Below are 18,131 nucleotides of genomic sequence, written 5' to 3' on the forward strand. Positions count from 1 at the left end.
TTCGAGACCAGCCTCACCAACATGGCAAAACCTGGCAAAACCCCATCTCTACAAAAAAATACAAAAATTAGCCAGGCATGGTGGTGGGCACCTGTGGTCCCAGCTACTTGGGAGGCTGAGGCACAAGAATCACTTGAACCCTGGAGGCAGAGGTTGCAGTGAGCCAAGATTGTGCCACTGCACTCCAGCCTGGGCGACAGAGCAAGAGAGCGAGACTCTGTCTCTTTTTTCTTTTTTAAAAAAGAATTAAAAAAAAAACCTAATAAATGAAATCAGCAATGTAGTAGCATACAAGGTAAATACACAGGCCAGGTGCGGTGGCTCACACCTGTAATCCCAGCACTTTGGGAGGCCAAGGTGAATGGATCACTTGAGGTCAAGAGTTCAAGACCAGCCTGGCCAACGTGGTGAAACCCCGTTTCTGCTAAAAATATAAAAAAATTACTGGTGGTACGTGACTGTAGTCCCAGCTACTCGGGAGGTTGAGGCAGGAGAATCACTTGAACCTGGGAGGTGGAGGTTGTAGTGAACTCAGACTGCTCCACTGTACTCCAGCCTGGGCGACAGAGTGAGACTGGAAAAAAAAAAAAAAAAGTCAATAGACAAAAATCAGCTGCATTTCTAAATACTAACAAACAATGAACAGTCTGAAAAGGAACTAAAGAAAATGAAAATTCCACTTAAAATCTAGCAATCCTACTTCTGGATATATACCCCAAAAAATTGAAAGGAGGGCCTCAAGGAGGTAATTGAACACCCGTGTTCACAGCAGCATTATTCATAATAGCTAAAAGGTGGAAGCAACCCAAGTGTCCATTGACAGATGAATGAATGAGCAAAATGTGGTATGCACAGTGAAATTTTACTCCGCCTTAAAGGACACTGAGACACTTTCTACAACATGAACCTTGAGAATACTGTGCTAGGTGAAATAAGCCAGTCACAGAAAGACAAATATTCTGTGATTCCACTTCTGTGAAGAAAGCAGCGTAGTCAAAATCATAGAGACAGAAAGTGGAATAGTGGCTGCCAGGGTTGGGGAAAAAGGGAATGGAGAGTTGGTGTTTATGGGGACAGTTTTAGTCCCCCCACTGCCCCGCTTACCCCAACTTGAAGCTCAGAGTTTTAGTTGTACAAGATGAAAAGAGTTCTGGAGATGTGTGGGGGTGATGGCCGTACAACATCGTGAATGTATTTAGTGCCCCTGAACCACACACCTACATATGGCTAAGATGGTAAATGTTATGCTATGTATATTTTACTACAATAAAATATGTTGGAAAAAAAATTTTGATGTGATAATGCAAACTTACAGCGACTCACACCTGCTTTATCGGGAGTTTCAGAAGGGGCAGGAGGGAGAGGACACGCTAAGCAGCCAGAGGCTATTGACACACCGGAAGCATCCCCAGGGACTGCCTTTCTCAACATCACCCTCTGTAATGGCAGCGTCAGCCAAGAGTGCACTGCCATTGGTTTTACTGACCAAACCTAAAGAAACGGCTGCGTTCCCATCAGATTTGCTCACTAAATCATGCCGACACACAGACATGCATCTTCCAGCCTGTTCGGCAGCAGTGCAGACAACATGAGGGGTCTCAGATCTTCCACAAGAATGATTCTGGTTCTGCCTGAGCCTTCGCCTGAGTCCCCATCAGGCATTGTAAAGGTCAACTTAAGGATGATGGGCAGGCAGAGGCAGGAATAAGGACTGATATGGTTGAATCTCTCATTGCTTTAGCACCATCCGCTTGGTGCTGCTCTCATGATAGCTGGTTGTTTAAAAGTGTGTGGCACCTGCCGGGCGCGGTGGCTCACGCCTGTCATCCCAGCACTTTGGAAGGTTGAGGTGGGTGGATCATGAGGTCAGGAGATCGAGACCATCCTGGCTAACACGATGAAACCCCGTCTCTACTAAAAATAGAAAAAATTGCCAGGCGCGGTGGCGGGCGCCTGTAGTCCCAGCTACTCGGGAGGCTGAGGCAGGAGAATGGCGTGAAACCAGGAGGCGGAGCTTGCAGTGAGCCGAGATCGCGCCACTGTACTCCAGCCTAGGCTACAGAGCGAGACTCCGTCTCCAAAAAAAAAAAAGGAAAAAAAAAAGTGTGCAGCACCTACCCCGGCCCCTTGTCCCTGCTGTGGCCACGTGACATGCCTGCTCCCACTCTGCCTTCACCGTGACTGATTCTGAAGCATCCCCAGAAGCTGAGCAGATGCCAGCACCATGCTTCCCGTACAGCCTGTGGAACTGTGAGCCAACTAAACCTCTTTTCTTTATAAAATACCTGGTCTCAAGTATTTCTTTATAACAGTGTGAGAATGGCCGAAAACGACACCCAGATGCAAACATTACCCAGGCCACCGCGTGCTGACTCTCTCACCAAGCAGGAGCGGGCCCCTCCCTCACGCGGAGCCGCTGGCACGGACAGCCTCGGGAAGGTCAGGCTGAGCGTCCTTTCCTCTGTGCACCCCCGGAGGGTGCTCCCATTGGCTTTCTCAGATAGCACCATCTCAGGGTCCAGCTGGCCATGGCCTGGATTAAGTTTAAAATGCTGGGCCAGTCCCCACTTCCCTATATATGACTTTTTACAAGTCTGACACTTGAAGCTTTTGGGCCTCAGGGAGCAGCTTGATAAGTCAAAGAGCGCCTGCCTCTCCCTCTGATCTTCTTCCACACTGACTTCTGAATCATCATCAGAATCTGGCAGATGACCGTCGGCCAAATCATCCCTTTTTATGAACTCAGCTTTAGCTGTATACTTGGCAGGTCGAGATACCTGTCTCAACGTGTCTTCACTTTTAACGATGGTTTTAGTTTCTCAGTATGTTTTGTATGCAAGTTGGAAATAAATAAACGTCCTGAACTGGATGAAACATGTTACAGTCGGCGAACTGGAGGCCAACGAAGGGGTCAACATGGTGCCCTGTCCATTTGGAGCCTTGGGAGCTGGGACTTTCTTTGCAGGGACCACCTAGAGGGCTGGCAGTGGTCTCTGTACAAACCCCTGAGCAGGAGGCTGATGTAGGAAACATGACTGTGGCTCGGTTCTCACGAGGGGCTGTACCCTGAGCAGCTGGGGGCTGGTGACGTGGAGTCCCACCAGGCGGGAATTCCCCCGGGGCGGCTGGCTCTGTCTTGCAGATTGGGGCTAGACTGTGGCCAGTAGGGACGTTGGCCGTTCCTGACCTTTTGTTTCTCCAGACGTTACCTTGACACAAATGGCTTCTAGTTGCTTTCCTACAGAAAGACAAGAAAGGGAAAAGAAGCATTGTGCTTATCAACATGTCTGCAATTCTGCTCTCATAGTAAATCCACTACTGACATTTTTTCTAAATTACGTCTTACATATACAATTTATGTAACGTGTTTGTATTAACTGTTTTTCAGACCTTTCTGACCAGAAACCACAGTGATACAGGCCGGGCGCAGTGGCTCACACCTGTAATCCCAGCACTTCGGGAGGCCAAGGTGGGCAGATCACTTGAGGTCAGGAGTTCAAGACCAGCCAGGCCAACATGGTGAAACCCCTTCTCTACTAAGGATACAAAAATTAGCAGGGTGTGGTGGTGCACACCTGTAATCCCAGCTACTTTGGAGGCTGAGGCATGAGAATCGCTTGAACCTGGGAGGACGAGGTTGCAGTGAGCCAAGATCGCGCCACTGCACTCCAGCCTGGGTGACAGAGCGAGACTCCATCTCAAAAAACAAACAAAATGGCCGGGCACGGTGGCTCACGCCTGTAATCCCAGCACTGTGGGAGGCTGAATCACTTGAGGCCAGGAGTTCCAGACCAGCTTGGTCAACATGGTGAAACCCCATCTATACTAAAAATACAAAAGTTAGCCGGGTGTGGTGGCACATTCCTGTACTCCCAGCTACTTGGGAGGCTGAGGCAGGAGAATTGTTTGAGCCTGGGAGGCGGAGAGGCTGCAGTGAGCCGAGATCCTGCCACTGCACTCCAGCCTGGGTGACAGAGCTAGACTCAGTCTCAAAAACAAACAAAAAACAAAAACAGACCACAGTGACACATTTTACATTATGACCTAGTATGCACGTATATAAATATTTGCATACATAAATGAAAAGCTGATGGAACTACTTAGCATTCCTATGTAAATGCCTGCTGATTGTATCTATTCTTCATTTCTACATCACCTTTTTTTTTTTTTTTTTTTTTGGAGACGGTCTCACTCTGTTGCCCAGGCTGGAGTGCAGTGGCGCGATCTTAGCTCATGGCAACCTCCGCCTCCCAGGTTCGAGTGATTCTCCTGCTTCTGCCTCCTGTATAGCTGGGATTACAGGCACACGCCACCATGCCTGGCTAATTTTTGTATTTTCTGTAGAGACGGGGTTTCACCATGTTGGACAGGCTGGTGTCAAACTCCTGAACTCAAGTGACCCGCCCGCCTCGACCTCCCAAAGTGCTGGGATTACAGGTGTGAGCTACCGCACTGACCCTAATCTACATCACTTTAAAAAAAATACTAGTCATAATCCACTAAGTTGATTTCATGATGAATTAAGAGATAATAAGAGCCTTCTTAACAGTTTCACCCATGTGTTTTTGCTTGGAGTTTTTAGTACTCTAAAATCAGATGTAATTCATAATGTGGGACCATGTTTTTAAAAAAGTTTCTAATGAAATTCTAGAAGCCACAAAAAAGCCATAAAGGACAATGTTACCCAGGATCCTCCTGCCCAACCTGCATGCCCGTTTCTTCACCCTGTCCTGAATGTGCTGTTCAGCATTCTTATGCTTTTTAAATATTTACATGGCATATGCAGATATTTCTAAAAATATACAGTTCAGTTCTGAAATGCTTTAAAACTTTATAGAAATGATATCATCTCCTGCAACTTGATAGGGCTTTTTTCAGGTTTCTTTACTCCATTTTGCTTTGTGAATTTTACCCTCATTGACATGTGTAGCTCTCAGGGGTTGATTTTCTCTGCAGTATGAGTTTACCAATCTCCTATTGATGGATGGGTACTTTCCAACCTTCTGCTCTAAGGTCTGCTCTGAATCTCCACGGATGTATGTGTGTACATGTGTGAGTTTCTCCAGGGGCATGTATCTAGGAGTAGGGCTGAATATCTTTTTCTTTTTTTTTTTTTTTTTTGAGAGAAGGTCTTGCTCTGTTGTCCAGGCTGGAGTGCAATGGCATGATCTCAGCTCACTGCAACCTGCGCTTCCCAGGTACAAGTGATTCTCCTGCCTCAGCCTCCCGGGTAGCTGGGATTACAGACACGTGCTACTACGCCTGGTTAATTTTTGTATTTTTAGTAGAGATAGGGTTTCACCATGTTGTCCAGGCTGGTCTCAAACTCCTGACCTCAAGTGATCTGCCCCACTCAGCCTCTCGAAGTGCTGGAATTACAGGCGTGAGCCACCGTGCCCGGCCGGGCTGAATATCCTCAACAACTTTTTACAAATATATCTAACAAAATTTCAAATACATGTGCTTTTTGACCCAGTAATTCTACTTCCTGGATTCCAAAATTAAAAAAACTTAGATGGCCATAAAGATGTTATGTTCTATGAGGTTCAAGGCAGCACTGTCTGTAATAGCAAAACACCTACCAAAGGGGAGAGCTACCTTCGACAACATCCCACAAATATTTATTGAGTACTGACCATGTGCATGAGACACTGCTACAGGTGTCAGAGAAACAGTTCTCATACAGCTTAGGGGAGAAGGTCAGGAAGCAAAAGAAACAAGGCTCCTGCCCTCACAGAGCAGAAATAATGAGCATTTTCCTCCAGGGAGAAAAAGAGGCAAACCTCGTCATCCAGAGCATGATTTCACAACCAACATTTCAGAACATAATCCTTTGACATGGGTGGCTGGAGGATGCCCAGCAGCATCTCTGCCTCTACCCACTAGATGCTAGTAGTGATCCCGAGTCCTGACAAGATATTGCCAAGTGCCCCTTGTGGGGCAAAACTGTCCTCGGTTGAGAACCACTTATTTGGGACCACCAACTGGCCCTCTTTGGACTCAACCTTCTGGTGTGACCCTCAAACAGTAGAAAGTCAATAAAAATGTCAAACAGGACAGAATAAAGACCCTCACTGAGATCAGGCTGGAGTGTGTCTCTCGTCTGGCTCTTGTTATACACTAGTACAAATAACAGAGGTCAAGTGTACCGAGGTGGCACCACAACCCTGGGAGTCCCCATTCCTGGGCTACGTGCAAATCAAATGACAACTAGATTGGCTGTGCATATCCTTCAAGAACGATGTCTGTTTCATTTTACTACCAATCACACAGAATCTCTCTCTAAGGGCCAAACACAAATCACACCTGCAGTAGCAGTGCTTTGGGATGCTGAGGTGGGAGGATTGCTTGAGGCCAGGAGTTCAGGGCCAGCCTGGGCAACAGAGCAAGACCCTGTCCCTACAAAATGTTAAAAAAAAACACAAAAACCCAAAACAAAGAGTCTCACTGTTGCCTAGGCTGGACTGCAGTGGTGCATTCTTGGCTCCCTGAAACCTCTGCCTCCCGAGTTCAAGCGATTTTCCTGACTTGGCCTCGCTAGTAGCTAGGATTGCAGGCATGCGCCACCGTGACTGGCTAATTTTTGTATTTTTAGTAGAGACGGGGTTTCATCACATTGGCCAGACTGGCCTCAAACTCCTGATCTCAGGTGATCCACCCGCCGCCGCCTCCCAAAGTGCTGGGATTCCAGGGGTGAGCCACCGAGCCCCGCCTACAAAACATTTTAAAATTAGGCTTGATGGTACATGCCTGTAGCCCCAGATACTCGGGAGGCTGAGGGGGAAGGATCGTTTGAGTCTGGGAGTTTGAGGCTGTAGTGAGCCGTGATCAGTCCAGCCTGGGTGAGAATGCAACACCTTGTCTCAACAAAACCCCAAAACAACAACAAAATACATATACACACAGACACACAACCTAAACCCTATTGTTTTAGGATAACCACAGCAGCAAAGCCGGCCTAATAATGTATTCATCCTCTATCCTGACTGGCTTACCCCGTGGGTATTACGCCTCATGCTTTCTTGTGTGTTTTTATTTTGTTTGGTGAACATTTACTAAATATTTCTGGATGGAATACATACACACTAGCCAACTCCTAGCCTCACCCTTGAGATGGTGGGCAGTTTCCCTGCCATGCCTCAGTCCCCGCAGACCTGCTGAATCGATCTCCTGGGTCGGAGACCCGATCTGCCCTTTCAAAAGCTCCGCTGACGATTTCGAAGGCAGACAAGTTTCCCTAAGGAATGCAGACAGGTGAGGCAGACGGGAAAAATGTCATCATGGTACAACAGGTGCAATAAAGAGGCAGAACAGACCAGAAGCAGTGATCTCTGAGGGGCGTTTTGAAGGCTGGGAATTTTTGCCAGGTAGGGCATTCTGAGTACAAAGAAAAATGTGTACATGCATGGATGCATGAAAAGGGGTTGGCATGTTGGATGGAACTGGACATTTCTGGGGGGTGGGAAGAGGGAAGATGCGGAGAGACAGGGGCCTCCATCTGACCCAAGTGTGTCCACTGGTCTGTGCTTCTGATCCACACCATCCCCCACAGCGAACCACTGGGCAGTCTGCTGTGGTTGTTGAAATGCACCCCGCCACCTGCTCCAGAACCTGCCTCTCCTCTTCTGCATTTTCAACTCAGACTCACCCTTTCAAATCTAGTTCAGACACCACTTCTTCAACAAAGCTGCTTGTGATTTCCTCGGCCAGAAACAATCTCCCTTTCTCTAACTACATTTAGTTCTTCATCACTAGCTTTCAGGCCTTGATTAGCAGGTATCTGGGTCATGTTTTATCTCCTGTTAGTTCATCAGCTACTGAGGGGCAAAGTACACATCCGGTTTGACTTCGTGGCTTCCACGACACAGCTGGGGCTGAAAAAGTATTCGCAGAATGTGCTACAAAGGTACATTATTGGAGGTAGAATTTATACGTCTCCATCAGATTAGCTACAGAATAAGTCCCATCATGCTGCCTGATCTTGACTAAGTTTGCTTTTACTTTATGAAAAGTATGTCATTTTTTGACTCCATTCCAAACCCAAAAAGCTGTGGCCACATACAGCAGGGTGTGCTGGGGAGAACAAGGGCTCTGGAGAGCAGCCACACCTGAGGGATCTTGGACAAAGCCACTCAACCTCCCTGCAAAATGCTGGTACAAAAACACTACTGCGAGCTAAGCAACCCAGAACACTGCCCGGCACAGAGCAGAGGCTCAGCAGATGGCTGTCCCGGGATGGCGTCTTGCAGCCTTCGGACCCAGACCACAGTCCAAAAAGGTCGAGTTGCCCAAGGTCACACCTCTAGATAGTGTGGCATTTGGGCAGAATCATACTTGCCTTCCTAAACCTTAGCAAGACAACTCTCCACTCTTGATGATGAACTGGATACAACAACCCCAGGCAGCTAAAATCACGAGTGAAGTCGAAAAAACTCAGGAGTGAAGATCGCTGATTCTATTCTCTAACGCATCTCTTCTAGTGGAAAAAGCCCTCTTCTTTTGGCAATTTTGGGTTAAGACTAATTTTATTTACAGCGCCAGCAATGAAATGAGATGGAATTTTACAGACGCCGTGTAGGACCCCTGGAAGGACAATGAGAGTACCCACCCCAAAAGCATAGTATCTGTATGCAAAAACAGTGACAGAGACAGAGAGAGAGAGAGAAAGAAAATGCTGAGAAGCAGCAATGAAGAGAAGAAAATGCTGGGCCGTGGCACTTGCTGTGCCTGAGACCTGAAAAGCTCAGTTGGTTCCTTTTAATTCATTCAGGTCTCAGGGGCAGCGTCTGGCCTACGGGCCCACCCACTCTAAAGCGGCCCCCTGTCCCTCCCAGAACCTGCCTGATGTTCGTTCTTCGAGTGTGTTGAAGGCCGCACCTCCTGCACTTAGGTGGGAGTGCGGGCAACCCCGTCTCTGAGTGCCCCACAGAGGCTGAACGAGTGGTCAAAGGCGTGTCAGACGAGCTAGGCAGCACAGGGGAGCCCCGGGCAGGGCTGTGGAGGCAGAGAGGGCACGACGGCGTCCCAGGCAGAGGGCCCAGCGTGAGCATCGGCTCCTCAAGTGAGGCTCCTGGGGTGAAAACGCCAGGGTGGTGGCAGGTGGGGGCCGAACGCCGTCCCTAAGGGGCTCAGCTTCGGGACACCCTGAGTCTTGACTGGGGCCGGATACTGGCCACCCCGGCCAAGCAGCTAACCCCGCCGCGGGGCCTCGGCCCCCTCCGGGCCTCAGTTTCCCCACGTCGCTCCCGGAGCCTCACCTGGGGCGGCAGCAGGCGTGGCGGGCACGGGGGCTCGGCGCCAGGGTCCCGCTGGAGGGCGGCCTGATGGGCCGCGGCGGCAGCAGCTGCGCCTTCGTCACCCGCTTCAGGACCTGCCGCAGCTGCTCGGGGCCCAGCGGGGCCACACGTGCAACGCTGCCCTGGCCCGGAGAAGCCTGGCCGCCGCATCCGCCGCGGCGGCTGAAGCGGGGACTCCAACCTGGGTCGCTGGGCGACGACGTGCCTCACCTGGGAAAGCGGCGGGCTACGAGTGCCCCGCAGGCCAAGACACCTCGGAAGGCGACGCTGCCCGGCCGGGACAGCCGCCGCGGCCCCTAGGGCCGATCAGCACAGCGGACCCACCTTATTTTCTCATTGCCTGTCACGGATGTGTTTAACACTCAGATGTCACCTCCTCCGGGAGCTGTCCCCGATCTCCCAGGCGGAGGTCTTTGAGGTTCCAAAGCCCCTGACCCAAAAGTTATCACATTCTTTGAGGTTCCAAAGCCCCTGGCCCACAAGTTATCACGTTATCCACGTGTTCTGACGTCATCGTGCACCCCAATCAGCGGAGGATCCTGCCTGGATACGCGGAGTCCTAGGTCCACCAGCAAACGTTTAGGTTTATAAATCTGAGAGGGGACCCAAAGTTTGAATTTTTAACAAGAGCGCTTCCCAACCCCCAAACTGTTCCCATGTCACCCTACCGTCTCTCCCCTCACCCACCCAGGCTGCGTGTACCTTGAAGGGAGAGACGATATGTTACTCATTCGGTGCCCATTACAGGCCCTGCCCAGAACGCACGCTCAAGGCGTGAAAGATGGATGGATGCATAGAAACCAATAAATGAACGGGTGAACAAATCCACGAACCCACCCTCTCCACATGTCCGTCCCATCCATCCAGCCCCAGTGCCCCGTCTTCCTCAGCCCGATCGCCTCTCTTACAGGGTCGAGGCTCTGTGCACCCTCCCCACCGAGTCTTGTAGCTGCAGGTGTGTACACACGTCCCAGTCCCAGTCCCAGTCCCAGTCCCTCTCCCCAGGGAGCGTAGGAGGTCCACTGGCCAACAAACACTTATTAAGCGCCTGGTGGGTGAGTCGCCATTCCCTCCCTGTGGGGTACCACGGGTCTAGCTGGCGAGAAGGAGGAAACCAGCATTTGCAGTACAGTATGATGAGCACCATGAAGCCAGGAAAGGTAAGGCTGGGGGGGGGGGGGGGGGCGCCAGGCTGGTGTCAGAGAAGGTTCTGGAACATCACCATCATCCTCATCAATACTTCGCATTCACGATGCTCCCTGCTATTTTTTAATGGTGAATTTCATATGATGGGTATCTTACCACATTTTTTTTTGTTTGTTTGTTTTTAGACAGGGTCTCACTCTGTTGCCCAGGCTGGAGTGCAGTGGCGCCATCTCAGCTCGCTACAACCTCGACTTCCCGGGCTCAGGTGATCCTTCCACCTCAGCCTCTGGAGTAGCTCGGACTACAGGCATGCGCTACCATGCCCAGCTAATTTTCGTTTCTTTTTTTTTTTTTTTTTTTTAATAGAGAGAGGATCTCACCATGGTGCCCGGGCTGGTCTCCAACTCCTGGGCTCAGATGATCCACTTGCCTAGGCCTCCCAAAGTGCTGGAATTACAGGCGTGAACCACTGCGCCTGGCCCAAGTCAATCTTTCCTAGTTCCTTCCCAAGAAGGGATTTATGACAACTGAGTTCTTTTGAGATCTTTTGGGAAGCTCTGCTTTTCAGCAGACAAGAAATTTCAGGAATTCAAATGCCTTCTGCTCAAAATAATTTTCACGCCACCGTGGCACATTCTAAACCCCTTCAAGTTCAGGAAACTTGAGGGCAGCAGCCTCCACCGACTCCTCCGTGCTCTGTCCCTGCATCTAACCCGGCACGACTACTGCAAGATGTGACATCCAACTTGTTGCGTACAGGTTTCTATTGCAGGTGTCAGCCGACCCAGGCTCTCCTAACGTTGCTTATAGTAGCAGCAGCGCCACCAGCCGGCGTTTATTGAGAACTTTCACTACACCCTGGGCACTTACCAAGGTTTTAAGCCAGTAGTCTGTAGATTTTGAGCAGCTACTGATTTAGGTCAGAGTTAGTAGATGTTTCCACTGGAGAGTTTTCAAAAGCAGGTGGAGCCCCTGCTGGATCGTGACAGAAAATGGCACTGACCCTACACAACTGGCTTCGTTCAACGGAGCACACCTGACCACCCCAGAAACTTGAACCACCAGCGAGAAACTCATCCACTTGCTCTGGCTGCAAAATGCAGAACCAAGAGGAAGAAATGTGAAGCCTAAGATGTCTCTGAAAAGAAACGGGGGGTGGGGGGGAAGAGCAAGAGAAGGTTTCCAGAGGCTTCCACAACCAGAACGCCTCTCTAAAAACATGGCAGGCATCTACTGGCTGGTCACTTTCTCCACGTGGCTTGGGATTTGTGTCTCACTTACCGCTTTGCTCCCCGCCTAGAACGGTGCTGGGCATGCAGTAGCCCTACACACCATCTGTGGAATGCATTCATTGCAGACCTGGATTTTCAACCCTAAGACTTCCCCGCAAGGCGGCCAAGGGAACACGAGGCGGTGACATCTGGGAGCACCCGTCTTCACTGGGCGATTCCTCCAGGGGAGCCACAGCCTCAGGAAGCGCGGGGGCGGCAGGGGTGGGGGCTGAGGGCCGGAGATGTGGATCGCTTTGGATATCCTGAGTGGCCTGCAGGTGGCGGAGGGTGCAGGGACTCGGGTGCGGAGCCACCGCCCCAGCGCATGCCTGGTACCTCCCGCTCTCCCCAGCAGGCTGCCCTCGACAACCTCTGGGCGGGGAGACCAAGAGATCCTGCAGTTCGCTCCTACCCGCACGCCGCTCACAGTACCCGAAAGGCGCATTTTTCACAAACTGTTGTAGAAAGAGTTCATGGCGGGGTGGCGGCGGGGAAAAAAAAAAAAAAAAGCTAACGCCGTGGCCGGTGCGGGAGTCGAGCCCGCGACCTTGGTGTTATCAGCACCACGCTCTTACCAACTGAGCTAACCGGCCGCCCGACGGCACAGTGCCCCTGGAGCGTATAAAAGGGCTCCACGTTCGCGCCCGTCCACGAGCGATTCCTCGCCAAGCCCGCGCGCCTCTGGCTGCCTTCCGCTTTGCCCCAGCCGCGGGGACTCCGGGGAGGAGCCACCGCCCCAGCGCTGGCCGGGTTTCTCCCGCTCCTCCCTGCCAGGCTGTCCTCGACAACCTCTGGGCCGAGTCCAAGAGATCCCGCAAGTCGCTCCTGCCCGCATGGGGCTTACAGAACCTGAAAGGCGCATTTTGAAAAAGAGTTGCAGAAACAGTTCATGGGGAGAAAACAAAGAAACAAACCAACAAAAAACTGGGACTAGGGCCGGTGCGGGGATCAAGCCCGCGACCATGGCGGTATCAGCACCACGCGCTCACCAACTGAGATAACCGACCGCCCGACCATCTAGTGCTGCCCGAGCGTCTGAAAGGGCTCCGTGTTCGCGCCGGCCCGCGACTGATTTCCTTGCAGAGCCCGCGCCACTGGCTGCCTCCCCGCTTGGCCCCAGCTGCGACTTCTGACCGCCTCACTGTCATCCCCATTGGGTGGATGCAGAAACTGAGACCTAGGAGACTTCAAGGAGAAGGGAGGCGGCTTCCTACAGGGAACCGCAGGCTTCCACAGGGAAAATGCAAATTGCACATGGGAGGCTTGGCTCTGCAGTGAGGTTTTCAAACATTCCCATTCAATGCTGGTTTTAACTCTGAGAATCCTGAGGCCTGGCAACTTCGTGTATCAAGAGCCTTTCAGCATGGTTAAATCTAGCTCAGAAAACCCAGAAAACCAAAGGCCAAAAGAACCACCGAATTCCCTATTGCCCAAAAAATAACGGCTGCAGGGGTCTCGACTTCCTTCTTGTCCATTTTTATTTCCTTTCACTGTACACATGTATTTCTATATATATACACGGAATCCTTGCGCCAGGAGTGGTGGCTCTTGCCTTTAATCCCAGCACTCCGGGATGAATAAATAAATGAATGGAATGGAAAGCCTTGCTTGAAAAAGTGTATTCTGTCTTCCTTTTTGCATTTAATAGTCTGTCATTAAGTATATCCCGAAATAATTGCAAATGTCATTTTCAATGATTCATTCAAAAAAAAGAAAAGAAAAAAAATGAGACGGGGAAAGACAGAAATAGAGAAACACAAAATGATATTGTTTGGCCATGTCCCCACTGAAATCTCAACTTGAATTTTATCTCCCAGAATTCCCTCGTGGTGTGAGAGGGACCCAGGGGAAGTACCTGAATCATGGTGGCCGGTCTTTCCTGTGCTATTCTGGTGATAGTGAATAAGTCTCATGAGATCTAATGGGTTTATCAGGGTTTCTGCTTTTGCTTCCTCCTCATTTTCTCTTGCTGCCACCATGGAAGAAGTGCTTTTCGCCCTCCGCCATAATTACGAGACTTCCTCAGCCTGTGGAACTGTCAGTCAAATTAAAGCTCCTTTTCTTCCCAGTCTTGGGTATGTCTGTATCAGTGGCATAAAAACAGACTAATATAGTAAATTGGTACCGGGAGTGGGGTATTGCTGAAAAGATACCCAACAATGTCACAGCGACTTTGGAATTGGGTAATAGGCAGAGGTTGGAACAGTTTGGAGGGCTTAGAATAAGGCAGGAAAATGTGGGAATGTTTGCAACTTCCTAGAGACTTGTTGAATGGCTTTAGCCAAAACGCTGATAGCGATTATGACAATAAGGTCCAGGCTGAGGTGGTCTCAGATAGACATGAGCAACTTCTTGGGAACTGGAGCAAAGGTGACTCTTATTATGTTTTAGCAAAGAGACTGGTGGCATTTTGCCTCTGCCCGAGAGATTTGTGGAACTTTGAACTTGAGAGAGATGACTTAGAATATCTAGCAGAAGAAATTTCTAAGCAGCAAATCATTCAAAATGTGACTTGGGTGCTGTTGAAAGCATTCTGTTTTAAAAGGGATACAGAGCATAAAAGTTTGAAAATCTGCAGCCTGATGATCCAGTAGAAAAGAAAAATCCATTTTTGGGGGGAGAAATTCAAGCCAGCTGCAGAAATTTGCATAAGTAGGAAGGAGTCTAATGTCTCCAGGCCATGTCACAGACCTTCACAGCAGCCCCTCCCATCACAGGCCCAGGAGAAAAAAGTGGTTTTGTGGGCTGGGCCCAGGGTCTCTGTGCTGTGTGCAGCCTAGGGACTTGGTACCCTGGGTTCCAGCTGCTCCATCTGTGACTGAAAGGAGCCAACGTAGAGCTCAGGCTGTGGCTTCAGAGGATGGAAGCCCCAAGCCTGGGCAGCTTCCATGTGGTGTTGAGCCTGCAGATGCACAGAAGTCAAGAATTGAGGTTTGAGCACCTCCGCCTAGATTTCAGAAGATGTATGGAAATGCCTGGATGTCCAGGCAAAAGTCTGTGGCAGGGGTGAGGCCCTCATGGAGAACCTCTGCTAGGGCAGTGCAGAAGGGAAATGTGGGGTTGGAGCCCCCACACAGAGTCCCTACTGGGGCACTGCCTAGTAGAGCTGTGAGAAGAGAGCTACTGTCGTCCAAACCCCAGAAAGGTAGATCCACCAACAGCATGCACCATAGGCCTGGAAACACAACAGACACTCAACGTCAGCCTGTGAAAGCAGCAGGGAGGGATGTTGTACCCTGCAAAGCCACAGGCACAGAGCTGCCCAAGACCATAGGAATCCACCTCTTGCACCTGATGTGAGACCTGTAGTCAAAGGAGATCATTTTGGAGCTTTAAGATCTGACTGCCCCACTGGATTTTGGACTTGCACGGGCCCTATAACCCCTTTGTTTTGGCCTATTTCTCCCATTTGGAATGGCTGTATTTACCCAATACCTGTATCCCCATTGTATCTAAGAAGTAACTAGCTTGCTTTTGATTTTACAGGCTCATAGGTGGAAGGGACTTGCCTTGTCTGACTGTGGACATTTGGGTTAATGCTGAAATGAGTTAAGACTTTGGGGGGACTGTTGGGAAGGTACAGTTAGTTTTGAAATGTGAGGACATGAGATTTGGAGGGGCCGGGGTGGAATTATACGGTTTGACTGTGTCCCCACTGAAATGTCAACTTGAATTGTATCTCCCAGAATACCCACGTGTTGTGGGAGGGACTCAGGGGGAGGTAACTGCAATCATAGGGGCGGGTCTTTCCCGTGCTATTCTCATGATAGTGAATAAGTCTCACGAGATCTGATGGGTTTTCAGGGGTTTCTGCTGTTGCTTCCTCCTCATTCTCTCTTGCTGCCGTCATGTAAGAAGTACCTTTTGCCCTCTGCCATGATTATGGGACTTACCCAGCCATGTGGAACTGTAAGTCAAATTAAACCTCCTGGCCAGGCATGGTGGCTTACACCTGTAATCTCAACACTTTGGGAGGGTGAGGTGGGTGGATCACCTGAGGTCAGGAGTTCCAGACCAGCCTGGCCAACATGGTGAAGCCCCGTCTCTACTAACAGTACAAAAATTAGCCAGGAGTTGGGGCACGCACCTGTAATCCCAGCTACTCAGGAGGCTGAGGCAGGAGAATTACTTCAACCCGGGAGGCAGAGGTTGCAGTGAGCCTAGATCGCGCCACTGCACTTCAGCCTGGGCGACAGGAGCAAGACTCCGTCTCAGAAAAAAAAGAAATTCAACCTCCTTTTCTTCTAAGTCTAGGGTATGTCTTTATCAGCAGCGTAAAAACGACTAATACAGAGAGTAATGCATAAAGACACAGAAAGAGGGAGAGAGACAAAAAGAGAAAGAGAGAGAGAGAGAGAGAGAATGTAATAGGAGAAAGGGAGGGACAGGAGAAAAAGAGAGGGCCCTCTTCCCACTATCCTTCCAAAATCAGGGTTTCCTCATGACCCCTTCCTCAAGGCCTAGGTGCCAAAAAGGTCACTGAAGGAAGCACAGTCCCCTCTTCCTCAGCAGGCCTGAAGGCTCCTGGGCTATGGCTGCTGGTCTTCCTAAGCCAGAAGCTATAACCCTGAGCCATTGGGCTTCCCAGCCTAGCTTCCTCCTGTCCAAAATGAGAGGACAAACAGGAGTTAGAGAGCCTGAGAAGACCTGTCCCAGCAACACACCCCCCTAAGAAGGCACAGGCTGACCACTGACAACTGTTTAAATCCAGCGCCCACGTTCGGCTGGGATATTCTGACCCACTCAGGGCTGCCCCATAAACCAGCGCGTGGTCCGGATCCAAGCGCACCGAGAACTCGAAACCTCTCTGTCAAGCTGCCCATTGGGAGTTAAGTTCAAAGAGGACAAAGGAAACGAGATAAAGCGTCCAATACAAGAATTACCCATTTCAGACGCACAAGACGAAGAGCACAGGCGGTGTCAGGACATGTTAGGATCCGTCCCCAACTCCGCCGTCTTCATCCCCACAAAGCCACGGAACACCTGTACCCCGGAGCCCAGCTGCTCCTGCAGCCCCTGGAGAAATCTGTACATTCCCCGCCGAGGACCCTGCCGCTGGGCACACTGGGAGGCTGGCCTGAGGGACCCCGCGCCCGTGTCCCTGGGGCCGCTGCCTGGGAGAGCGCACGATTTACCCCAGGCGAGGTGACCCACAGGAAGTTTGGTGACGTCGGATGGCCCAGGCCCCAGAGTGCTGTGTGTGCTGGGGGTGGAGGGTGGTCCCCGACAGGAGCCGTCGGCGTTCCAGGGAAGGCACCCGGTCGGTCGGGGGACTCGCCGGGGCTGGGGGGTGCGCTCTACTTCTCCGAGCGCCCCCCAGGGAGACCCAGGGCGCAGGGGCAGCCCCGCGCTGGGATCCCGAGCCGCAGCGGCGGGGCAGGGCCCTCCCCAGGAGGCGGGCACCCGGGGCCCTTTGTCCTACGACAGCGTCCCGGCCGCGCCGCGCGCCCCTGTGGGCCGAGTCCCCGCGCGCACTCACTCACCCACGGTGACCAGCGTGTCGAAGTCTTGAAGGCGGTTGGCAGGCGGCTCCGGCGACCGCGACTCGGGGCTGGGGCAGAGCTCGGGCGCCCAGTCCGGGGTCTCCTCTGCCACGGCCGCCTGGGCCAGCCCGGGCGCCTTCATGGGGACGCACTCAGGTCCGGGGCGCCGGGCCGGGCCGGAGCGCTCGGGGAGCCGGGCTTCCGCGGATGCAGCCTCGGAGGGCGGCGCGGCGGCATCAACGGAGGCTCCCCATGCGCGCCATGCGGCTTGTGGAGGCCATCCTGCCCACCCGGCCCGGAGCCCGCAAGACGCCAATGCGCCTTCCGGTGCGCGCGCGGCCGGGCGCGGCTGACGGAGCGGCGGGGACAATGGCTGGCCGTCGCTCACGGCACAAGCAGCAACGGCCCCAGGTAGCAGCAGCCGCCGGCCTCGTGGGGCGGGCACGGAGCGCCGGGAGGCGGCGGGGAAGGCGGGGGCCGCGGCCCGGGCTTGTAGAGCCAGGCGGGGGCCCTGCGCATTCCCAGTCTCGCGCCCGCGGCCTCCTGCAGCTCGGTAGCAGCGTGCGCGTTGAAGAGGCGGGCGGAAGCCGCCTGGGCGAGGCCTAGGGGCTGGGGGCGTCGCCTTCGCACGCGCTCCGCCCCTGCCGCGACCCAGCCCAGGAGCCAGAGACCTGGGCGTGCCCCGCCACCGTGGGCAGGCGCGGCCCTGGGGAGGTGCTCACGCCCCCTCCGCGCCCGAGGCGCCCCTCGGGTGGCACCCAGGACGACCTCTCACCGCGACCTACCGCCCCGACCCTCTTAGGCGCAGAGGCGCACAGGTCCAGACCCGGCTACTCAGGAGGGAGGAAACATTTTACAACCTGTTCTCTCTTGTCTTTGAAGCCTGCTAGCTAAAAGCTTCATCTGCATAGTAAAACTTTGGTCTCCACCACCTC

General features: G+C 52.1%; 1 non-coding gene and 1 pseudogene across 3 annotated transcripts in view; both read right to left on the reverse strand.

The window, feature by feature from the left end:
- The window catches only part of FAM239A (family with sequence similarity 239 member A), a 31,360-nt pseudogene extending 13,577 nt beyond the window's left edge, over positions 1–17,783 (reverse strand). The window contains exons 1-3 of one of the 2 annotated variants that reach the window (NR_146580.1): positions 17,197–17,783; positions 2,354–3,238; positions 446–574 (exon numbers count right to left, since the gene is read on the reverse strand). The product of NR_146580.1 is annotated as a family with sequence similarity 239 member A, transcript variant 1 (transcript). The remainder of the gene's footprint in view (positions 1–445; positions 575–2,353; positions 3,239–17,196) is intronic. The other variant, NR_146581.1, reaches the window with a different exon arrangement.
- TRI-GAT1-2 (tRNA-Ile (anticodon GAT) 1-2) lies at positions 12,233–12,306 on the reverse strand. Its single transcript has one exon. It is a non-coding gene; the product is annotated as a tRNA-Ile (tRNA).
- Positions 17,784–18,131: the final 348 nt, after the last annotated feature.

The sequence above is a fragment of the Homo sapiens genome, chromosome X, assembly GCF_000001405.40.
Source record: "Homo sapiens chromosome X, GRCh38.p14 Primary Assembly".
Classification (NCBI taxonomy): Eukaryota; Metazoa; Chordata; class Mammalia; order Primates; family Hominidae; genus Homo; species Homo sapiens.